This window comes from Homo sapiens, chromosome 17, assembly GCF_000001405.40.
Source record: "Homo sapiens chromosome 17, GRCh38.p14 Primary Assembly".
Taxonomy (NCBI): Eukaryota; Metazoa; Chordata; class Mammalia; order Primates; family Hominidae; genus Homo; species Homo sapiens.
This window is the reverse complement of record NC_000017.11, coordinates 47,524,557-47,549,601: the sequence shown is the minus strand read 5'-3', so window position 1 is coordinate 47,549,601 and position 25,045 is coordinate 47,524,557. Positions and strand designations below refer to the sequence as shown.

General features: G+C 44.8%; 1 protein-coding gene across 4 annotated transcripts in view, besides 3 other annotated features; it reads right to left on the bottom strand.

The window, feature by feature from the left end:
- Window positions 1-25,045, bottom strand: part of NPEPPS (aminopeptidase puromycin sensitive) — a 100,344-nt gene that overhangs the window by 73,675 nt on the left and 1,624 nt on the right. For 2 of the 4 annotated variants that reach the window (NM_001330257.2, XM_017025373.1), the window contains exons 2-3: window positions 18,047-18,212; window positions 3,609-3,693 (exon numbers count right to left, since the gene is read on the bottom strand). In NM_001330257.2, the coding sequence (NP_001317186.1) occupies window positions 3,609-3,693; window positions 18,047-18,212 (251 nt within the window). Of the gene's footprint in view, window positions 1-3,608; window positions 3,694-18,046; window positions 18,495-25,045 lie in introns of those variants that run through there. The other 2 variants (NM_001411130.1, NM_006310.4) reach the window with 1 other exon arrangement.
- Window positions 12,743-12,944: a silencer, noted in NCBI's record as "fragment chr17:45614024-45614225 (GRCh37/hg19 assembly coordinates)". NCBI's record gives its function as "represses an EF-1alpha promoter that drives an FKBP-Casp9 reporter gene in an ReSE screen in K562 erythroleukemia cells {active_cell/tissue: K562}" and the evidence as "EXISTENCE:reporter gene assay evidence [ECO:0000049][PMID:32094911]".
- Window positions 17,625-17,804: a silencer, noted in NCBI's record as "silent region_8629". NCBI's record gives its function as "represses an Ori minimal core promoter by ATAC-STARR-seq in GM12878 lymphoblastoid cells {active_cell/tissue: GM12878}" and the evidence as "EXISTENCE:reporter gene assay evidence [ECO:0000049][PMID:35858748]".
- Window positions 17,835-17,984: a silencer, noted in NCBI's record as "silent region_8628". NCBI's record gives its function as "represses an Ori minimal core promoter by ATAC-STARR-seq in GM12878 lymphoblastoid cells {active_cell/tissue: GM12878}" and the evidence as "EXISTENCE:reporter gene assay evidence [ECO:0000049][PMID:35858748]".

The window sequence follows — 25,045 nt, the reverse complement described above, 5'->3', positions numbered from 1 at the left end:
CACCATGTTGGCCAGGCTGTTCTCAAACTCCTGACCACAGGTGATCCGCCCACCTAGCCCTCCCAAAATGCTGGGATTACAGGTGTGAGCCACCACACCTGGCTGCCCCCAGTTCAAACTTTAACAACTCATACAACTTCCCATTCTCTTAAACTCTAAAATTACGTGGGCTTACACATGACTTCAGGTTTTTTCCCGTTGCTGTGGTAGAAAAGTGTTGAGAAATGTACCTTAGCTAGTTCTGAAGGAAAATATTTTTTTTTTGAGACAGAGTCTCTGTCACCCAGGCTGGCGTGCAGTGGCACGATCCTGGCTCACTGCAACCTCTGCCTCCCGGGTTCAAGCAATTCTCTGCCTCAGCCTCCCGAGTAGCTGGGATTACAGGCACCCGCCACCACACCCAGCTAATTTTTTTATTTTTAGTAGAGATGGGGTTTCACCATCTTCGCTAGGCTGGTCTTGAACTTCTGACGTCATGATCCACCCGCCACAGCCTCCCAAAGTGCTGGGATTACAGGCATGAGCCACTGCACCCAGCATTGAATATATATTATGTATCTAAAATAATTTAACGTTTTATCAGAATCTCTCTTCAAATCTCCTTTTCCATTAAGTTTTCATTTCTCTCCTGACTCTCTTAGTAAGAACACTAACTGGGCTTCCGTGAGATACAGATCATTATGAGCTTAGCAACATTCGGTTACGCATATTCAAAACTTTTCAGTCAGGTCGGGCGCAGTGGCTCACGCCTGTAATCCCAACACTTTGGGAGGCTGAGGCGGGTGGATCACAAGGCCAGGAGTTCAAGACCAGCCTAACAAACATGGTGAAACCCCATCTCTACTAAAAATACAAAAATTAGCCGGGTGTGGTGGCACACGCCTGTAATCCCAGCTACTCAGGAGGCTGAGGCAGAAGAATTGCTTGAACCCCAGAGGCGGAGGTTGCAGCAAGCCGAGATCGTTTGGCGACAGAGCGAGACTCCATCTCAAAAAAAAAAAAAAAAAAAAAGAACTTTTCAGTCACCTGAATTCTATCCTGACATTTTTAGTACAGGAAGATAAAAAACAAACTTGAGCTGAAACCATGCCAGCTGGAAGGTACACATTTATATTACTAGATCTACCTATCTACATACCACTTTAAAACCACACATCGAATTTAAACATTCTCTACCTGCAACAAAGAAAGCCTTGTTGCTTTGATATACCTGGCTAAAGTACTTCTATTTTTCTCCACAGTTAAAGAAATTAAATAATCACTCTTTCATTTACCAGACAATTTTTTAAAAGCTGGCACTCACTCAAGTCCATTTGAAGAATCTGTTCTTCCAGCAGTTTGATCTAATTTACAATCAATTGAACTTAAGTACTTCTTGGGAATAGTATGTTCAACTGCTACTACTTTGACTTTCTATAGACAAAATAGTTTAAGAAAAAATCATAAATGTTATGAGGCCTTAAAATGAAACTTCTTTTCAGTATAATGTAAAGGAGAGAGGAAATCAAAATATAAAATGTAAGTTAAAAGATCAAATGTGTAAATTATTTTATTTTATTTATTTATTTATTTTTTTGAGACGGAGTCTCGCTCTGTCGCCCAGGCTGGAGTGCAGTGGCGCGATCTCGGCTCACTGCAAGCTCTGCCTCCCGGGTTCACGCCATTCTCCTGCCTCAACCTCCCGAGTAGCTGGGACCACAGGCGCCCGCCACCACGCCCAGCTGATTTTTTGTATTTTTAGTAGAGACGGGGTTTCGCCGAGTTAGCCAGGATGGTCTCGATCTCCTGACCTTGTGATCCACCCGCCTCGGCCTCCCAAAGTGCTGGAATTACAGGCGTGAGCCACCGCGCCCGGCCGTAAATTATTTTATATTAAAGAAGTCTCAGAGTAACCAATAACCATTTTGACAAGGAATGTCTAGGTGAAATCAAAAGTAAAAAGGCAACCAGGTGTGGTGGCTCTTGCTGTAATCCCAGCAACCTGCAAGGCCGAAGAGGTCAGATCCCTTGAGCCCAGGAGTTCAAGACCAGCCTGGGCAATATAGGAAGACCACCCCCCCATATCTATAAAAAAATACAAATACGAATATTAGCCAGGCATGGTGGTACACACCTGTAATATCAGCTACTTGGGAGGGTGAGGTGGGAGGATGGCTTGAGACCAGGAGACAGAGGTTGTGGTAGTTGAGATCATGCCACTGCCCCCCAGCCTGGGTGACAGAGCGAGACTCTCTCAAAAAAAAAAAAAAGTAAAAAGCAATCCAGCTCCAATACTGATGTACTTGTAAGAGTTTATGCCAAACTTGGTGTCTATTTAAAAAGCAGCTCATACGGGAATAAGATTTCCAGTCAAAATGGACTACTTTCATACTAAAATTATAAGGTCTAAAACAGTTCTCATTTTATAGACACTAATGGAGTTCCACATTCTATACCATGTTTCTTTTTAGCATGTTCTTCCCCTGTAACTAACTCCATTATTTAGCTTCTAATCTTCATATTGTCTCATAAAGCAAATGTTTTTCTCCGAATTAGGAGTATGACTTATCTCAATTTTAAACTACAGTACAAAAAGAAAAAAAAACTTTAAGAAAAACATAAAAACGAAGCCTCTTTGAGGAGCCTTTCATGTTCAAAGTACTTAATTTTTCAAATAACTCATCAGCTTTATTATGCATATTATATTCATTTTATACTTATGAAAATGTGATTTCCCTAGTATCACAAAATAAGTTAATCTTGGAAGTAGAATTTAAATTGTGACATTTGGCCGGGTGTGGTGGCTCACATCTGTAATCCCAGCACTTTGGGAGGCAGGCAGATCACCTGAGATCAGGAGTTCAAGACCAGCCTGGCCAATATAGCAAAACCCTGTCTCTACTAAAAATACAAAAATTAGCTAGGTATGGTGGTGGACACCTGTAATCTCAGCCACTCAGGAGGCTGAGGCAGGGAGAACTGCTTGAACCCACGAGGCAGAGATAGCAGTGAGCTGAGATCACGCCACTGCACTCCAGCCTGGGTGTCAGAGCAAGACTCTGTCTCAAAAAAAATAAAAATAAAAATAAATTTAAAAATAAAATAAATTGTGACATTTACTTTATTTCACAATACTGTTAGGTTATACTATTCAATATTTCCCATAAACATTTTACCCTTTTTCTTTTTCTTTTTTTGAGTCAGGGTCTCACTCTGTCGCACAGGCTGGAGTGCAGCGGCGCAATCATGGCTCACTGCAGCCTCGGCCACCTGGGCTCAATAGATCCTCCCACCTCAGCCTCCCAAATAGCTGGGACTACAGGCACGCACCACTATGCCTAGCTAATATTTCTGTTTGTTTGTTTGTTTTTGTTTCGCCACGTGGCCCAGGCTGGTCTCAAACTCATGGGCTCAGGGATCTGCTCGCCTCAGCCTCCCAAAGTGCTGCGATTACAGGCGTGAGCCACTTCACCCAGCTGAATTTACCCATTTCTAAAGTAACAAACATTGAAGTCTTAACCTGAAAATGTCTCTCTCTCTCTCTCTCTCACACACACACACACACACACACACACACACCCCACATATGCACATGCAGACAGCAAATTAAAATGGAAAACAGCTCTTACCTTCATCTCCTTCTGGTGCATATGAAGCTGTAATAATATCAATATCAGCACAATTCATCACAATCTGATTAGTCGCCTGCCTCACCTAAGGGGAAAAGGAAAATCAACAGTGTCAGAAATAGCCTAGATTAATAGTATATACAACTTGGCCAGGTGTGTTGGCACACACCTGTAATCCCAGCACTTTGGGAGGCCAAGCAAAGAGGATCGCTTGAGCCCAGGAGTGAGACCAGCCTGGAAAACATGGCGAAACCCCATCTCTACAAAAAATACAAAAATTGGCCAGGAGTTGTGATGTGTGCCTATAGTCCCAGCTACTCGGGAGGTTGAAGTGGGAGGACTGCTTGAGCCCAGGAGGTTGAGGCTGCAATAAGCTGTGATTGTGCAGCTGCACTCCATCCTGGGCAACTGAGCAAGACTCTGTGTCTCTCAAATAATAATAATAATGATGTTCGTAAGACTTGAACTAATATCACAGTCAATTTTTTAAAATCCAGACTTCGCTAAAACCTAGACTGAGAATTTATGCATCAATGGTACAAATAAATGAAGTTTTAATAATCCAAAGCAACTCATATTTTCCAAATTATATTAAAAACAATAATGGATGTTTAAGTATTTCACATCACTTACATCTAACCAATGAGCCAAATAAAATAATGTTTTCTACTTAAACTTTGACTTTAAACTATTAAAGGGCTGGGCACAGTGGCTCATGCCTGTAATCCCAACACTTTGGGAGGCTGAGGCAGGAGGATTACTTGAGGTCAAAAATTCAAGACCAGCTTGGGCAACACAGTGAGACAAAAAAAATTTTTTTAATTAGGTGGGTGTGATGGTATCCACCTACAGTCCTAACTACTGGAGAGGCTGAGGGAGGAGGATCCCTTAAGCCCAGGAGGTCAAGCAAGGCTGCAGTGAGCTATGATTACATCACTGACCTCCGGCCTGAACAACAGAGTGAGACTCTGTCTCAAAAAATAAAAATAGGCTGGGGGCATCGGCTCACACCTGTAATCTTGGCACCTTGGGAGGCCGAGGCAGGCGGATCACTTGAGGTCAGGAGTTTGAGATCAGCCTGGCCAACATGGTGTAACCCCATCTCTACTAAAAATTAGCCAGGTCTGGTGGCACACACCTGTAATCCCAGCTACTCACGATGCAGGGGCAGGAGAATCACTTGAACCCAGGAGGTGAGCTTGCAATGGGCCGAGATCGCACCATTGCACTGCAGCCTGGGCGACAGAGTGAGCCTACGTCTCAAAAAAAAAAAAAAAAAAAAGAATACAAAAATCAGCCAGGCAAGGTGGCATAGGCCCATAATTCCAGCTACTCAGGGGGCTGAGGCACGACAATTGCTTAAACCCGGGAGGCAGAGATTGCAGTGGGCTGAAATCCTGCCACTACACTCCAGCCTGGTAACAGAGTGAAACTCTATCTCAAAATAAATAAATAAATAAATAAATAAATAAATAAATAAATAAATAAATACGTTTAATTTCATAAAAATCTTAATTAGGAAACATTTCTTACAACATATTGCAATAATTATATATTTTAACCTGCACATCGAACTCACCATGAGGCCTTCTGTGAGGATAGAGGAAGAAGGCTGACACTATAAATTATGTCAAAACTTTATACAATAACTCTTACCGCCGAGTGTGGTGGCTCACACCTGTAATCCTAGCACTTCTGGAGGGTCAGGCAGGCAGATCACTTGAGGCCAGGAATTCAAGACCAGCCTGGCTGACATAGAGAGTAGAGAGACCCCATCTCCACTAAAAATACAAAAATTAAGGCCGGGCACGGTGGCTCACGCCTGTAATCCCAGCACTTTGGGAGGCCGAGGCAGGCGGATCATGAGGTCAGGAGATCGAGACCATCCTGGCTAACACGGTGAAACCCCGTCTCTACTAAAAATACAAAAAATGAGCCGGGCATGGTGGCAGGTGCCTGTAGTCCCAGCTACTCGGGAGGCTGAGGCAGGAGAATGATGTGAACCTGGGAGGCGGAGCTTGCAGTGAGCGGAGATTGTGCCACTGCGCTCCAGCCTGAGCAACAGAGCAAGACTCTGTCTCAAAAATAAATAAATAAATAAACAAACAAACAAACAAACAAACTAGCATCTTGGTCCATGTTTTCCTGTGCACACATGAGAGAATTTTTCCATGGAAAGGAACCTAATAGTGGACTTTCTGGATTGTTGGACATAAATCTTCAACTTTACCAAGAACTGCCAAATTATCCTCTAGAGTGGTGTCAACTGACATTCCCATGAGCAAAGAATGAAGAAATCCCACTTTCAGCATGTTCTGAAAAACTTTAATATTTTTGACAATCTAATGGGTATTAAATGATAGTCCTGGCCAGGCACAGTGGCTCACGCCTGTAATCCCAGCACTCTGGGAGGCTGAGGTGGGTGGATCACTTGAGGTCAGGAGTTCAACACCAGCCTGACCAACATGGTGAAACCCCATTTCTACTAAAAAAAAAAAAAAAAAAAAAAATTAGCCAGGCCTGTGGTGCGCGCCTGTAATCCCAGCTACTTGGAAGGCTGAAGCAGGAGAATCACTTGAACCCAGGCAGTGGAGGTTGCAGTGAGCTAGACTGAGCCATTGCACTCCAGCCTGGGCAACAAGAGCAAAACTTTGTCTCAAAAATTTAAAAAAAAAAAAAATTTTTTTACTGATAGTCCATTGGTTTAATCAGAATTTCCCTGATTACTAATAACATTGGTTACTACGCATCTTTTCTCGTGTGTGTGTGTGTGCGCGCCATTAAGTTTTTCCACTGTGAACTGCTTGTTTAACACTCTTGTGCATTTTTCTTTTTTTTTTTTTTTTTTGAGATGGAGTCTCGCTCTCTCGCCCAGGATGGAGTGCCAATGATGCGATCTTGCGATCTTGGCTCACTGCAACCTCCATCTCCTAGGTTCAAGCGATTCTCCTGCCTCAGCCTCTTGAGTAGCTGGGATTACAGGTGTGCACCACCACACCCATCTAATTTTTGTATTTTTAGTAGAGATGGGGTTTCACCTTGTTGGTCAGGCTGGTCTCAAACTCCTGACCTCGTGATTCGCCCGTCTCAGCCTCCCAAAGTGCTGAGATTACAGACGTGAGCCACCACGCCTGGCCTCTTGTGCATTTTTCAATTTAGTCATAACCTTGCTTATATGCATTTATTTTGTTGTTTTAAACAAAACTTCAAATTCATTTCCAGACATTTGAATGTTCTAAATCTAAAATAACAAAAACACAGATGCCCTAAATCACAAAGAAATGCTTCCTGAGGCAGGTAAGTATAGCAAGCCATGTGGAAGCTGTGCACAACCCCTTAAAAGGAGGAGATGGTAGCCATTTCTTGGAGCCAATGAATTATCACTATGGTGACTGGCAGGTTTAGTGCTGACAGATCTTCCAATTTTTTTTTTTTTTTTTTTTTTTTGAGACGGAGCTTCGCTCTTGTTGCCCAGGCTGGAGTGCAATGGCGTGATCTCGGCTCACCGCAACCTCCGCCTCCCAGGTTCAAGCGATTTTCCTGCCTCAGCCTCCCTAGTAGCTGGGATTACAGGCATGTGCCACTACGCCCGGTAAATTTTGTATTTCTAGTAGAGACGGGGTTTCTCCATGTTGGTCAGGCTGGTCTCAAACTCCCGACCTCAGGTGATCTGCCCGCCTCGGCCTCCCAAAGTGCTGGGATTACAGGCATGAGCCACCGCACCTGGCCTGATCTTCCAATTTTTTTTAAAAAAGCTACAAATTCAGATTTCATGCGCAGTCTCCCGTTTTTTATTAATGGTAACTAATTCAAGTTTTCAGAAACACTGTATAGACCAAACAAAATCTGTGTGCAGATCAACAATGCTCTTAGACAACTGAACATACCACAAAACTAGGTAAGAACATCAGAGTAGTACGATATCTGCATGAAAGACCTGTATATGGGTAATCATTTATTAATAACCAATACATATTTAAACATGATTAGCTGGCAACTAAAATTACCTGCCTAAATGAGAGACAGTAAATTACAAAGTCTATAATGAGCTATTCAAAATCTCTAACACATAAAGTGAAACTACTTTGGCTCACAAAAAAAATGCTTCTCATAAATCTTCATGTTTCAAAACAAAGATGTCATTTAATGAATGGCTTATCTTTTAAGCAGCAATATTCCTTCACACTATTTCACCAAAACATACCTAAATAGCACTAAAACCTTTGTGTCCAACTGGCGATTTATAGCACTAAAGTTGAACAAAAAAACAAAAAGAATTCTTTGCCTATTCAGAAGTTGACTTAAAAATTCAGAAACATGGCTGGGCACGACGGCTCATGCCTGTAATCCCAGCACTTTGGGAGGCCAAGGTGGGTGGATCACGAGGTCAGGGGTTCGAGACCAGCCTGGCTAACATGGTGAAACCCCATCTCTACTAAAAATACAAAGATTAGCTGGGCGTGGTGGCAGGCGCCTGTAATCCCAGCTACTCGGGAGGCTGAGGCAGGAGAATCGCTTGAACCCAGGAGGCGGAGGTTGCAGTGAGCCGAAATCGCGCCATTGCACTCCAACCTGGGCGACAAAAGCAAGACTCCATCTTAAAAAAAAAAAAAAATCAGAAACACAAAGAAATGAAGCACTTACTGGGGTATGCTCCAATGGGTGAAATGAATAAAAACCTTTCTGAGTTTGAAGTTTATGCCAGCAAAATAATAACTGTGGTTTAGTTACTGGTCTTAATCATTATCTAGGCAACCACACTTTCATCCATCAACATCTACAGTGAATTTCACAGTAGCCAAGCAGTTAATCCACCAATGTCAAGATACCTGTACAACACTATACATGCCAAATCACACAGCACATTACTACTGCAACCATTCGAGAGAAAGTATTTGTGCATTTTGGAAAGGCACCATGCACAACATCCAATTACAAGTACCTTCCAACTCCTCCTGTGTTTAAGGGAAACTCATCTATTTATACTAATGAATTAAGCTGTTTCTTGAATTGTTACTAATTTTTTTTTTCCAGGATACTACCATTTCTGGAAGGGTGGGAGGGAGGAACCAAAGGAACAAAGGTACTTATCTTAAAAATAGAAATCCATTCACATTTTAAAAATTGGTCAGCATCTTGTCTTATATTAGAGATGCACTTATTTAAAAAGTTGACCAATAATGGGATAATCTATGTAAAGTCTCTGTTTTAGCACTTAGTGCTTCATATGTAGTCATCACTTAATAGATGTTAAGACATACACATACACACACACAGGTTAAATTGTGCTCTCATATCATCTAACAGCATTCACCTAACAGTTTATAAAGCTTCTGATCAGAATGATATGAAGTTTAAAAACTATGTATTGTATTATATGGCACTTTGGATATCAGCACATGTGTACTACCCCAAGAAGGTAATTTAAAATATCTGTTTGGACATAAGTGTATGTGCTGACTACAACGCAGTATAACACTGCTCATTGTGATGCTGCTCTTCCAAACAGTAGTGCTGACCTGATGGTGTAGTACATGATTTCCCACCTTTGACACCTTCATGTTAGTAAATATTAGCTGTGTGTTCCACTATCAAAAAAACAGGTAATAATTCAAAGAAATTTCAGCATTAAAATCTTCAGTTTCCCAGTTTAAAACACAAGTGAAACAAGGTTGGCATATAAAAGTGCACTGATAACAAGCTCATTTTCAATTTTTCTACTTGATGTTATTAAAGGATAGAATGTTAGTGTATCCTTGCTTTGTTTCAAACCCAGGATTAAGTCTTCTTGGCCTCCTATATAGACTGCACTTCAACTGAGCCAAATACTAAGTAAGGGCTGTACCAAAGAGGCAGCTTGACGCCTGGTAACAACTTTACAATGGAAGTTTCCTATGAGATAGGGAGGCAGAAATCGGAGATAACATTTTCCTGAATGAGTCTTTACTACAGTCACTCAGGAACATATCTTACATGTAAGATAGTAAGACTCAAGAGGGTTTTTTTCTGATTGTCAATGTCCTGAGATTTCAGTAAAAGAAAATCTCCAGTGTGACAATTCCAAATGCCAGTCTGAAGCCTGAGTCAATTTGCCTAATAAAACTGATTTCACCATTAAAATAGCAATAATTGTTGCCTTGGTGGAACAGTTCTATAATAGCTAAAGACAAGAAGAAGCAGATAATTAGTAAACTCAAGTTGAGCCAAGTTTTCTAACAAGAAACATTGAAAAGAGCCACTTGCAGAAGGTCAAAAATAATTACCATTAATGTAAAAATGCAAAAGGCACAGAATATTGGTATGTGATGTTTGTGGCTACTAATATGCAATTAAAGTTTTAAACTATACATAGGAATAAAAAGGAATAATACGCACCTACCTGAAGAAAGAAGTTACTTCTAGAGGCAGGGTGGGACGAGATGGAAATGGGCTTTAGTGATATCTGTGACATTTTATTCCCCCCCCAAAAAAAGCATGCACAGTCTGATGAAAATGGGGCAAAACGTTAACATCTGTTTAATCTCATAGTGTGTGACTTTCTTGTATTTCTAAAATATTTCCTAATTTAAAATAAAATTTTAAAGAGATTACAAGTGACCAAATAAACCAAGGACCACATACTTGTATGGTGTTCAAAACGAAATCACTAAAATCTAGAGAACTAATCTCAGTTAACAAAAGCCATCCGAAGGCTCAGATATTTCCCACTGACTCACATACAGATTAGAGTAAGATTTACTTCACAATAAGAGCAGGCTCATTTATGTGGCAAAGTTCGGAGAAGCTTCACAGATAATTTACTACTCAAGACCACATTTACCCAGGTTGTATCAGAGTATCAGTTGTATCTAGAACCAGGAGGCTAAAAAGAAAAAAGAAAAAAAAAAAAAAAAGGCCTAGATGAAAAGCCAAAATAGGTGATACAAAGTCCGTACAATAAAACGCATACCCTTTACTCAGAAGAGAATCCAACAAACTCTCACACAGCAATTGATTTTTTAGCCCAAACAAGCTTGTTTATCTGGCTACTAAGGCTTCTTCAGATGAAGTTCAGTAAAATACAAGAGGGAAGAAATTGCACAACAGGCAGCAACAAGGCACAATAAGCAGCAAGAAGAACATGAGAGTAAGGAAAACAAAACAACTTTAAAGAACAGATACAGGCTGGCCGGGTGCGGTGGCTCAGGCCTGTAATCCCAGCACTTTGGGAGGCCGAGGCGGGTGGATCACAAGGTCAGGAGTTCGAGACCAGCCTGGCCAATATGGTGAAACCCCTTCTCTACTAAAAATTCAAAAATTAGCCTGGCATGATGGCAGGTGCCTGTAGTCCCAGCTACTTGGGAGGATGAGGCAGGAGAATCGCTTAAACCCGGGAGGCGGAGGTTGCAGTGAGCTGAGATCACGCCACTGCACTCCGGCCTTGGCGACAGAGCAAGACTCTGTCTCCAAAAAAAAAAAAAAAAAAAAGAAAACAGATATGGACTAGGCGCGGTGGTTCATGCCTGTAATCCCAGCACTTTAGGAGGCAGAGGCAGGCGGATCACCTGAGGTCGGGTGTTTGAGACCAGCCTAGCTAACATGGCGAAACCTGGTCTCTAGAAAAATACAAAAATTAGCCAGGTGTGGTGGCATGCACCTGTAATCCTAGCTACTAGGGAGGCTGAGGCAGAAGAATCCCTTGAACTAGGGAAGTGGAGGTTGCAGTGAGCCGAGATCGCACCACTGCACACTCCAGCCTGGCCTAGGCAACAGAGTGAGACTCTGTCTCAAAAAAAAAAAAAAAAAAAAAAAGAACAGATATGGCTAGGCGCGGTGGCTCACACTTGTAATCCCAGCACTTTGGCAGGCGGAGGCAGGCAGATCACCTGAGGTCAGGAGTTCAAGACCAGCCTGGCCAACATGGTGAAACCCTGTCTCTACTAAAAATACAAAATTAGCCAGGCGTGGTGGTGCATGCCTGTAATCCCAGCTACTAGGGAGGCTGAAGCAGGAGAACTGCCTGAACCTGGGAGGCGGAGGTTGCAGTGAGCCGAGATTGTGCCACTGCACTCCAGCCTGGGCAACAGAGCGAAACTCCGTCTCAAAAAGAAAAAAAAAAGAAAAAAAAAAACAGATATGAAACTGATAAATTATAGTACATAGTTTGGGGTCAATGAGAGATGTTCAAAATAAAGTTCAGTATTTAAAAAAAACAATGAAACAAACCTACACTATGAGGAATTGCAAAGCATAAAAAGATAATGTATTTTAGAAATATTTCCATTCAGATTAGTCAACTTTTTTTTTTTTTTTAAAGACAGGGTCTCGCTGTGTCACCCCGGCTGGAGTGCAATGGCGTGATCTCAGCTCACCGCAACCTCCGCTCCTCCGCTTCCCGAGTTCAAGCAATTCTCCTGTCTCAGCTTCCCGAGTAGCTGGGATTACAGGCATGTGCCACCACGCCCGGCTAATTTTTGTATTTTTTTGTAGAGACGGGGTTTCACCATGTTGTCCAGGCTGGTCTCAAACTTCTGACCTCATGATCCACCCACCTCAGCCTCCCAAAGTGCTGGGATTACAGGCGTGAGCCACCACACCCAGCCTAGTAAACTTTTTTAAAAATGTCTAAGGGCCTCAAAGGGTAAACTTCAGTTATCTGGAAAATTCACTGCAGAATTCATTGCCAGATGAATTAGACAAAGCTTAGCATACAAAACTGTTATACTTCTTTCCTCACAGATACATTTCAAAAAACAGAAAATCTGAACAAATTCAATTCCTTATCACCAATATTTTGAATTTAATTTTATATATATGAATTTTTTTTAAGAAAATTTCTTCCTTTTTTTTTTCCTGGAGACAGGGTCTTGCTATGTTGCCCACACTGGTATCAAACTCCTGTGCTCAAGCAATTCTCCCACCTCCACCTCCCAAAGTGCTAAGATTACAGGAGTGAGCCACAGTGTTGGCCAAAATGATTACATAGAAAATATGCAGAAAATGGCCAGGCACGGTGGCTCATGCCTGTGATCCCAGCATTTTGAGAGGCCAAGGCGGGTGGATCACCTGAGGTCAGGAGTTTGAGACCAGCCTAGCCAACATGATGAAACCATCTCTCTACTAAAAATACAAAAAATTAGCTGGGCTTGGTGGTGCGCGCCTGTAATCCCAGCTACTCTGGAGGCTGGGGCAAGAGAAACACTTGAGCCTGGGAGGCAGAGGTTGCGGTGAGCCGAGATCGCGCCATTGCACTCCAGCCTGGGCAACAAGAGCAAAACTCCGTCTCAAAAAAAAAAAAAAAAAAAAAAAAGAAGCCAGGCACGGTGGCTCGGTGGCTCACGCCCATAATCCCAGCACTTTGGGAGGCTGAGGTGGGTGGATCACCAGAGGTCGGGAGTTCGAGACCAGCCTGACCAACATGGAGAAACCCCGTCTCTACTAAAAACAGAAAAAATTAGCTGGGCGTGGTGACGCATGCCTGTAATCCCAGCTATTTGGGAGGCTAAGGCAGGAGAATTGCTTGAACCTGGGGGGGCAGAGGCTGCGGTGAGCCGAGATCATGCCACTGCACTTCAGCCTGTGCAACAAGAGCGAAACTCCATCTCAAAAAAAAAAAAAAAAAAAAAGAGAGAAAATATGCAGAATTTGGGCAAAAAATTTGTAACACAGAATTGACAATAACCATTCAGGTGCCAAATTTTTAATCTGCCAAACAAACTACTATATTGGCAACTATTCACTTAGTGCCAATTTAGTTATCTCCAACATGTATATTTTGTTAGTAGAGGCCAGGGGTTGGCTAGGATATCCTGATTTCTGGCCTTGAATGATAAACTTAGTTTCTCTGGCACAGGTAAAATATTTCCATAAGAGAAAGCCCAGCTGGGCACGGTGGCTCACGCCTGTAATCCCAACACTTTGGGAGGCCGAGGAAGATGGAATGAGGTCAGGAGATCAAGACCATCCTGGCCAATATGGTGAAACCCCATCTCCACTAAAAATACAAAAAAATCAGCCAGGCATGGCGGCGCGTGCCTGTAGTCCCAGCTACTCAGGAGGCTGAGGCAGGAGAATTGCTTGAACCCGGGAGGCAGAGGCTGCAGTGAGCCAAGATCCCGCCACTGCACTCCAGCCTGGGTGGCAGAGCAAGACTCCATCTCAAAAAAAAAAAAAAAAAAAAAAGAATACCCAATTATTGTACCAACCACTACACACTCATAATCATAAATAGTAGTCACACACATAAACTTATAATTCATTTTAATTAATTATCCACAAACGGAGAGGATCAAAATATGAAATATCTACAAAAGTCCACTGCTCTCAAGTATCCAGTGTAAAGGGAGGGGACAGGGAATGAAATAAATTTTGGGCCTAGAGAAACTTCTGTATAATAACAAATTTTCAAAACCAGCTAGACCACACTAATGTGAAAGACAACTAATTTTTTTTTTTTTTTTTTTTTGAGACGGAGCCTCGCTCTGTCACCCAGGCTGGAGTGCGTGGCGCGATCTCGGCTCACTGCAAGCTCCGCCTCCCGGGTTCACACCATTCTCCTGCCTCAGCCTCCCGAGTAGCTGGGACTACAGGCACCCGCCACCACGCCCGGCTAATTTTTTGTATTTTTAGTAGAGGCGGGGTTTCACTGGGTTAGCCAGGATGGTCTCGATCTCCTGACCTCATGATCTGCCCGCCTCTGCCTCCCAAAGTGCTGGGATTACAGGCGTGAGCCACCGCGCCCAGCCTTTTTTTTTTTTTTTTTTTTTTTTTTTGAGACAGAGTCTTGCTCTGTTGCCCAGGCTGGAGTGCAGTGGCGCAATCTCAGCTCACTGCAAGCTCCGCCTCCCAGATTCACGCCATTCTCCTGCCTCAGGCTCCTGAGCAGCTGGGACTACAGGCTCCCGCCACCACGCCCAGCTAATTTTTTGTATTTTAGTAGAGATGGGGTTTCACCGTGTTAGCCAGGATGGTCTCGATCTCCTGACCTCGTGATCCGCCCGCCTCGGCCTCCCAGAGTGCTGGGATTACAGGTGTGAGCCACCGTGCCCGGCCAAGACAATTGATTTTTAAATCACTGAACATGGACTAATTTCTTCACCTTCTGCAGCAGTCCACACCCCAGGCCAGGTTAAAAATCCACTAAGTTGGCCGGGCATGGTGGCTCATGCCTATAATCCCAGCCCTTTGGGAGGCCAAGGGAAGGGGATCACCTGAGGTCAGGAGTTCGAGACCAGCCTGGCCAACATGGCAAAACCCCATCTCTACTAAAAATACAAAAATTAGTTGGGCGTGATGGCACACACCTGTAGTCCCAGCTACCCAGGAGGCTGAGGCAAGGAGACTCGCTTGAACCCGGCAGGGGCACAGGGTGGAGGCTGCAGTGAGTCGAGATCACACCACTTCACTCCAGCCTGGGAGAAAGAGCGAAACTCCATCTCAAAAAAATAAAAATAAAAAATAAAATAAATCCACTAAGTTTCTAATATGTAACCTACACAAATACTCTGGGCTTATCGTAAAATTTTGTAACTAAAGCAACTAAGCAACTTGCATGTTTTGTGTTATGTGATTCCAACTGTTAGGAAACTGATCCAATATCAGTCATAAATATAGGTTTCTACAGATAAGAATTTTGTCGCCGGGCACAGTGGCTCACGCCTGTAATCCCAGCTCTTTAGGAGGCCAAGGCGGGCAGATCACGAGGTCAGGAGGTCGAGACCACAGTAAAACCCTGTCTCTACTAAAAATACAAAAAATTAGCTGGGTGCAGTGGCGGGCACCTGTAGTCCCAGCTACTTGGGAGGCTGAAGCAGGAGAATGGCGTGAACCCGGAAGGCAGAGCTTGCAGTGAGGCGAGATCGTGCCACTGCACTCCAGCCTGGGCGACAGAGCGAGACTCCATCTCAAAAAAAAAAAAGAATTTTGTCAATATTTTAAAATGCCCACAAGATACCACCTAATGCCACAATTTAAACGTATTGCTCTAATTCATGGATTTCAAAAACATTAATATATGCTTTTTACTTCTTACCAATGTTAATTCCTCTTTTACCCTTCCAAACATGTCAATTAGTACAATTTAAAAGTCCAATCATCCTTTAATAAAACCTGTTGGAATTCACTATTGTGTCATCTTTGTGTTGCCATCTAGCCTGAAAAGAATTTCTGGAAAAAAAGTGTTTTGAAAAGTTCATGCTACTTAAAAAATTTATTTATTTTTTATTTATTTCCTTGCATCAAATTAACAAGTCCCTGCTAATATCTAGTATATTACCATATGCTCACTCAATGGCACAAACCAGTCTTCCACAAAAGTAGAAAAGAGGTAAGGAGAAACATGTCACTGCTTGTTGTTCTATCCCGATACTTAAATCAAACTCACTTCTTTAATAAGTAATCATTTAAAAATCTGTACTTTTTTCTAGACTTTTCCCAAAATATGTTTGCCTCCAAAAATTATGAATCCATTTTGGCAACTAATAGGGTAAAGAAACAAATGTTTTTTTTAATGTTAGTCTTTTCACATAATGCGAACTCATTCATCACTAGGTTCTCTTTCCCAAAGGTTTGCCAAGTCACAAGACACACTACTGTTTACAATCCCTCCCATCTGCCCCTTGCCAATATATATCAAACACTCTAGTCACTTGGCTTAAGCCACAGTTTCCCAAATAACCTTCTCAAATTCTAATTTAGACCCAAGATGCATTCGTTCTGATTCATATTCTTAATGGAAAAATTTTAAATCACCTGATTTTCACTAAGTTCTGCCTTTTGATGCTGCCAAATCCTAGAGCCCTCTTGCTTTCACACCAGTGCTCCAAATGTGACAGCTATAGTTATCTATCACAGATAAGTATAGATAACTATACTTTTAAATTCTGTACTTTTAGACATATTTTTAATCTGAGTACCGTACCCTCTTGGTTTTTCAAAGACAACTACCAACATTCAATTCATTCGAGCACCAGTCTTCACTTCATTTCATTACTATATACACCATGTTCTTTAAGGTGGGAGCCTACTGATTTCCCCCGACCCCAGACTGCAGTAGGAAGAGAAATGAAACAAAATATATTTACTAACATTCTATTTACAGATAACTATCAAACAGTTCCCATTTTTATTACAGGCTTCCTATTACATAGTATCATAAATGCCTATTGTGCAGGATGTTTGTCGGGCATCTATACTGATGGTCTCCAAAATCAAACAATACTTCAGATAATGCTGCGGGAGGAGGGAGTGGAGTATGATTCACCAAAAACTGCAGTGAAGAGTAATGGAATATTTTCACCGGTGGTATGTTATAACTAATAGCTTCTTTCTTTCCTTTTTTTTTTTTTTTTTTTTTTTGAGACGGAGTCTCACTCTGTCGCCCAGGCTGGAATGCAGGAATGCAGTGGCGCGATCTCGACTCTGCAACCTCTGCCCCCCGGGTTCAAGTGATTCTCCTGCCTTAGCCCCCGAGTAGCTGAGATTACAGGGGCCCGCCACCACGCCCCGCTAATTTTTGTATTTTTAGTAGAGACGGGGGTTTCACCATGTTGGTCAGGCTGGTCCCGAACTCCTGACCTCAAGTGCGCCCGCCTCAGCCTCCCAAAGTGCTGGGATTACAGGCATGAGCCACCGCGCCCAGCCAGCTTCTTGGGAGAGGAAGGTACTGCTAAGCAACCATCACGGTAGCAATAAATCCACCAGCTTCGAAGGCCGCAAAGCTAGGAAGATAGGTGGAAAAGCGGAGATGGGGTCCTCCCGCAGCTTCTCTGGAGGTTAAGAGAGAACAAAGTCACTGCTGCACTGTCACTTGAGGGAAAGGGGGAGGGGGCGGATCATCTTGGAAACCCAGCCCCTGGGCTGGAGCAGGCGGGGAGAAGTCAGCGAGGCTGCCTGGGATTAACATTCTCGTTCTCACCCTCTCCCCCCCCTTCTAGAAGCTCCCCTCGTCGCTCCAACGCGGCGGCCAGAGTCCCAAATGACCACCCCCTCCAATCTATCACCCGAGAGGTGTAGAGAGAAACCAAAGAAAGAACTGAGTCAGGTGGTTGAGGCAGAGCGGGGACTCCCATGACCTCTCCGTCCTCCCCCAACACCCTCCAGCCTCCCCCGGAACACTATCAAGCCCAGAAGGGTCCGGGGCGGGGGGGAAAGCCCCACACAGGTGTGCTCGCCGGGGAGGGGCGCAATGGCCGGGCCGCCGGCTCCCCAGAGCTCCCGCAGCGCGGCCCCAGCCCGAGCCCCAGCCTCAGCTCCGGCCACGGTCCCTGCCCCGGCCCCAGCCCCAGCCCCAGCCCCAGCCCCAACAGAGCAAGGCAGAGCACGCCGAACCCGGCGCCCTGCGGCCGCCCAGCCCCGACCCGAGGCCCGCCCGCCCTCCCGGCCGGGCCCTGAGTCCAGCCCGCGGGCGCGGCCTAACTGCTCGCCCCGCAGCTTGCCCCGGGGCCCGAGGGTCGCTGTACCTGGGCGGCGGCCTCCAGCTTGCCCTCGAAGGTGAAGTCCAGCAAGTCGGGCTTGAGGCAAAGGCTGTAGTTGATGGGGGAGACATCGGCAGGCAGCCGCTCGAAGGGCCTCTTCTCCGGCATCGCGGCGAGGCCCAGGCTGTGGAGGCGGCGGCGAGAGGAGCGGCTGAAGACGAGAAGGAGGAGGGGAGGAGGCGGAGGGCCGAGGAAGAGCAGGCGGCGAGCGAGGGAGGGGGCGGCAGCTGCCAGCCACATCCACCGAGCGCGGGCGACCGCCGGAGGAGAGCGACCGGGGGAGCCTGGGGGGCGGGGGAGAGACCCAGCCGGAGCGCTAGGGGCTGGGAAGGAGGCGGTGCGGGCGGACTGGCGGGCGGGCTGCCTACGGGGAAGGGGGCGGAGGGGAGGGAAGGGGAGGAGGGCCCGCAAGGAGGGAGGGAGAGGGGGAAGTGGTGGCGGCGGCTGCGTGCGCGGCCCCGCCGGCCGGGCGCGCCCCCGTGGAGTGCGCGCGCACGCCTGGGCAGAGGGCGGAGCGGCGAGGACGAGGGCGCGGCCGGCGGGGCGGGAGGGCGTCGGGTTGCTCGCGCGAGCGCAGGGCTGGAGGCGGGCGCTGCACCTGTCGGCGCCGCTCAGGACTGGGGGCGGCCTTCCAACTGGAAGGAGCCGGGAAGGGCTTGATCAGAGGAAGGAAAGGCATAAGGGGCCCTCGGGAAATTGAAGCCTACGCAGTTGGTCAGTTCAGCCAGGGTCGCATGCATAAAATACCAGTTACAAGCAAAACCCCAAACTGGATTCTGCCTCCAGGTCAGCGAAAAGCCCTGACTTGAGGCTCTCTGGCCTTAGTTCCTGTTAAGTAGCAAATTCAAAGGATGATTTGAAAGTTTTGTTATAAAACCTTTAATAGCCGGGCGCAGTGTCTCACGCCTGTAATCCCAGCACTTCGGGAGGCCGAGGCGGGCGGATCACGAGGTCAAGGAGATCGAGACCATCCTGGCTAACATGGTGAAACCCCGTCTCTACTAAAAGTACAAAAAATTAGCCGGGCGTGGTGGCGGGCGCCTGTAGTCCCAGCTACTCAGGAGGCTGAGGCAGGAGAATGGCGTGAACCCGGGAGGCGGAGCTTGCAGTGAGCCGAGATCACACCACTGCACTCCAGCCTGGGCGACAGAGCAAGACTCCGTCTCAAAAAAAAAAAAAAAAAAAAAAACCTTTAATAATCTAGGTTACTTCAACCAATGAGATTTGGACTTTTGAGGGAGTGATTTCAAAAACTGTATTTTTGTTTCCATGATTTAATGTTTAAAATGGGATGTTTCGGGCGGTCGCGGTGGCTCACGCCTGTAATCCCAGCAATTTGGGAGGCCGAGGCGGGCGGATCACAAGGTTAGGAGTTCAAGACCAGCCTGGCCAATATGGTGAAACCCCGTCTCTACTAAAAATACAAAAAAAAAAAAAATAGCCGGGCTTGGTGGCGGGCGCCTGTTGTCCCAGCTATTCGGGAGGCTGAGGTAGGAGAATCGCTTGAACCCTGGAGGTGGAGGTTGCAGTGAGCCGAGATTGCGCCACTGCACTCCAGCCTGGGCGACAGAGTGAGACTCTGTCTCAAAATAAATAAATAAATAAATAAATAAATAAATAAAATGGGATGTTTCACCTTTTCCCCATTTTCATCTTTGTTTCTTTTTAAACTAAAAGATCCTTCAGCAATCATGGCCTCTTTAATGGTGAACTATCTGTGGCTCTCTCAGTTCTGTAGATACCTTGCAAATTGAGGAGGTATATATACAAATGCATATATATATATATATATATATATATATAATGTAACTGAAATTATCTTTAAAAAGGGGGGCCAGGGCCAGGTACGGTGGCTCACACCTGTAATCCCAGCACTTTGGGAGGCTGAGGCAGGTGGATCACGAGGTCAGGAGTTCGAGACCAGCCTGGCCAATATGGTGAAACCCTATCTCTACTAAAAATACAAAAATTAGCCTGGCATAGTGTCATGTGCCTGTAGTCCCAGCTACTAGGGAGGCTGAGACAGGAGAATCGCTTGAACCCGGGAGGCGGAGGTTGCAGCGAGCCAAGATCACGCCACTACACTCCAGCCTGGGCGACAACGAGACTCTGTCTCAAAAAAAAAAAAAAAAAAGTGGGCCCAGGTGTGGTGACGTGTGCCTATGATCCCAGCTACTCGGGAGGCTGAGACGGGAGGATCACTTGAGCCCAGGAGGTGGATGGAGGCTGCAGTGAGCTGTAATGGTGCCACTGCACTCCAGATGACAGAGTGAGGCCCTGTCTCTAAAAAAATAAAAATGAAATAACAATTTTAAAAATGTTATTTAAAGTGTCAAAGGCAAGGAGATTTATCCATAATCTTCATATTTCTTTATAGAAATTTCTCAGATAGAACCCAGTAATTTCCAAAACTGAATGTAGTATGTTGTAATGGACCAGTACTGTCCAGCAGAAACATACTATGAACCACTAGGTAGTATTAAATCTTATAGTAGCCACATCACAAAAAAGTAAAAAGGAAACAAATGAAAACACATCTTATTTAACCCAACATATCCAAAATATTATCATTTCAACATGTAATCAATATAAAAAATATTAATGAGGCCGGGCACGGTGGCTCACGCCTGTAATCCCAGCACTTTGGGAGGCCAAGGCAGGTGAATAACCTGAGGTCAGGAGTTCAAGACCAGCCTGACCAACATGGTGAAATCCCGTCTCTACTAAAAATACAAAAATTAGCCAGGCATGGTGGCGCATGCCTGTAATCCTAGCCAGCTACTCTGGAGGCTGAGGCAGAAGAATCACTTGAACCCAGAAGGCGGAGGTTGCAGTGAGCTGAGATCACAGCACTGCACTTCAGCCTGGGCAAAAAGAGTGAAACTCCGTCTCAAAAAAAAAAAAATTAATGAGATATTTTACTTATTTTGTTCACACCAACTTTGAAATCCAGCATGTATTTTACATTTATAGCACATCTAAATTCTGACTATCCACATTTCACGTGATCAGTAGTCACGTGTGGTTAGTGGCTCTTGTACTGGGCAGCACAGTTTTGGACTCTGGGCCTGGCCTCTTAGCCTCTGAATCCTACATACTTTTCAGAAAGGCAGATTGAAAAGCTGCAATCCTTTCAAACTAAGGTGTGAGATGGGGCCTTTTCTTATATATATGTAGTTCTATGACCACTTACTGGTCAGAGAAATAATAATTTAAATAACATATAATAATTTTTTTTTTGAGCTGGAGTCTCCTCTGTCACCCAGGCTGGAGTGCAGTGGCGTGATCTAAGCTCACTGCAACCTCCACCTCATGGGTTCAAGCAATTCTCCTGCCCCAGCCTCCTCAGTAGCTGGGATTACAGGCGCCCACCACCATGCCCGACTAATTTTTGTATTTTTAGTACAGATGGAGTTTCACCATGTTAGCCAGGCTGGTCTCAAACTCCTTACCTCAGGTGATCTGCCCACCTAGGCCTCCCAAAGGGCTGAGATTACAGACATGAACCACTGTGCCCAGCCCATATAATAATAATTTAATTAACTGTAATTGAATGTTTTTCGAGTGCTTACTAAACACTTTTTTTTTTTTTGAGATGGAGTTTCGATCTTGTTGCCCAGGCTGGATTGCAATGGCATGATATTGGCTCCTGCAACCTCTGCCCCCCGGGTTCAAGCGACTCTCCTGCCCCAGCCTCCTAAGTAGCTGGGATTATAGGTGCCCGCCACCATGCCCGGCTAATTTTTGTATTTTTAGTTTTATTTGTTTGTTTGTTTTGTTTTTCTTGTTTATTTTTTCTTTTTTTTCTTTTTATTTCTTTTTCTTTTTTTAATTTTTGTATTTTTAGTAGAGACTGGGTTTCACCATGTTGGCCAGGCTGGTCTCAAACTCCTGACCTCAGGTGATCCACCTGCCTAGGCCTCCCTAAGGGCTGGGATTACAGGCATGAACCACCACGCCCAGCCCATATAATAATAATTTAATTAACTGTAATTGAATGTTTATCAAGTGCTTACTAAACATTTTGTTTTTTTTCTTTTGTTTTGGGTTTTTTTTGAGATGGAGTTTCACTCTTGTTGCCCAGGCTGGAGTGCAATGGTGTGAGCTCGGCTCACTGCAACCTCCACCTCCTGGGTTCAAGCAATTCTCCTGCCTCAGCCACCCAAGTAGCTGGGATTACAGGTGCCCACCACCACACCCGTTAATTTTTTTGTATTTTTAGTAGAGATGGGATTTCACCATGTTGGCCAGGCTGGTCTCGAACTCCTGTCCTCAAGTGATCCGCCCACCTCGGCCTCCCAAAGTGCTGGGATTACAAGTGTGAGCCACTATGCCTGGCCAACACTTTTCATATATTAATTCATTTAATTATTCTCAACAACTCTGTGAGGCGGACACCATTACCCCATTTCACATTTGAGGAAACAGGCACACAGAAATTCAAGGACTTGCCTAAGGTCATACACTAATAATTGGCAGAGCCACAGTTAGGACCTAGGCATTTTTTTTTCTCTCCTGAGAATCTTGCAGCAGATTCCCTGTTGTTCTAACTCTCCAGTTTTGTTTTGTTTTGTTTTGTTTTTGAGACAGAGTCTCGCTCTGCCGCCCAGGCTGGAATGCAGTGGCGCGATCTCAGCTCACTGCAAGCTCCGCCTCCCAGGTTCAAGCCATTCTCCTTCCTCAGCCTCGCGAGTAGCTGGGACTACAGGCACCCGCCACCAAGCCCAGCTAATTTTTCGTATTTTTAGTAGAGACAGGGTTTCACCGTGTTAGCCAGGATGGTCTCGATCTCCTGACATCGTGATCCGCCCGCCTCGGCCTCCCAGAGTGCTGGGATTACAGGCGTGAGCCACCGCGCCTGGCCCTAACTCTCCAGTTGTATTTTATTATAGTTCGTCTGTTTCTCAGCTTCTCAAAATGTTATTTTCATTATGTCTGTTAAAGCAAATTTCATTCATAACCATTTAAGGCTCTCCATGAACTGTCCTTATCATTTTCCCAGACTTGTTTTTTCTTATCCTTTAACATATATTCTCCAGTCTTAACAAGCTAACCGGTTTAATGCTTGGCCCTTACAGCTTGCTCATTCTTCTCTTCTCTACCATTGCTCAGGCATTATTGCTGGAATGACCTCCTCATCTTTTTCGGCAAACCGGGGCCCCTCCCTTCCTTCAACACTCACCTTTTCCAGAAAGTCCTCATTGACTAACTCCACCCAACTCTCTTTTCCCATCAGTTCACAAGTACTGGCTTTTGCTGATTTATTTGTACTTGTTCTGACTGTTACTCTGTAATTATGTTGTTTTTGTTTTATTCTGGGTTTTTTTTGAGATGGAGTTTTGCTTTTGTTGCCCAGGCTGGAGTGCAATGGCACAATCTCAGCTCACTGCAACCTCCGCCTCCTAGGTTCAAGCGATTCTCCTGCCTCAGCCTCCTGAGTAGCTGGAATTACAGGCATGCGCCACCATGTCTGGCTAATTTTTTGTATTTTTAGTAGAGATGGGGTTTCTCCATGTTGGTCAGGCTGATCTCAAACTCCCGACCTCAGGTGATCTGCCTGCTTCGGCCTCCCAAAGTGCTAGGATTACAGGCGTGAGCCACCGCGCCTGGCCTATAATTGTGTTTAAATTTATTTTATATGTGTATCTTTGCAAGATGTACTACTAGTAAGAGCTTGTTTCCTAATTCCTTTATTACTCTCAGTACTGGACCCTGCACAAAGTACATCTCAATTATTATTGAGCTGACTAACCAATTAACCAAGAGACAATATTTTACCCAGTCTGTAGCCTTTCCTGTATGTACAAGATGTATGCCCCATAGAGAAACTACGTGAACCTAAGACTGGAGGCAACTTTCTTTTATAAAATCACAGAAAAGATTAAAAACAAAACACTAGGCTAGGCACCATGCCTCACGCCTGTAATCCCAGCACTATGGGAGGCCAAGGTGGGCGGCTCACCTGAGGTTGGGAGTTCAAGACCAGCCTGACCAACATGGAGAAACCCCATCTCTACTAAAAATACAAAATTAGCTGGGCGTGGTGTTGCATGCCTGTAATCCCAGCTACTCGGGAGGCTGAGGCAGGAGAATCGCTTGAACCCAGGAGGCAGAGGTTGCAGTGAGCCAAGATCACGCCATTGCATTCCAGCCTGGGCAACAAGAGTGAAAGTCCATCTCAAACAAAAACAAAAACAAAACACTAGGGCCACAGACTTCATGGCAGCAGTAATTTTTGATCCTGCTGAGGAGAAAGAAGAGAACCTTACATGGCCCCATCCTTGGTCCCATGATCCAAGAGATTCCAATGCAGCAAGTCAAGAATAAACCCACACTTAGAACTTGGGCTAGAGGAATGGAAGGTAACACACAGTTCCCTTAAATATGACTGGATGACCACCTAACATATGCTCCATACAGGCTTCTCTGAAATAACAGAAATTAGAACACAAGGGCCCTTGGAAATTCATTTCCCTCCATGGTGCTTCAGAAGGAATGGGAAAGTCAGTAATGTCCCAAGATCCTTAGCCCTACTTTTAACAGGCTTCTAGGCTTCTCTGTTTACCACACCTTTGAAAATCTGCAAATGAAAAACCTATGGAAGTCCATATATATCAATAAAAAGTTAACAAAGATTTGGGAGACTGAGGCAGGAGGATGACTTGAGGCCAAGAGTTCAAGACCACTCTGGGCATCATAGTGAGACTCCCATCTCTACAAAAAAAAAAAAAAAAATTGGCCGGGCACGGTGGCTCACGCCTGTAATCCCAGCACTTTGGGAGGCCGAGGCAGACGGATCACGAGGTCAGGAGATCGAGACCATCCTGGCCAACACAGTGAAACCCCGTCTTTACTAAAAATACAAAAAAAAAAAAAAAATTAGCCAGGCGTGGTGGCAGGTGCCTGTAGTCCCAGCTACTCAGGAGGCTGAGGCAGGAGAATGGTGTGAACCCGGGAGGCAGAGCTTGCAGTGAGCCAAGATCG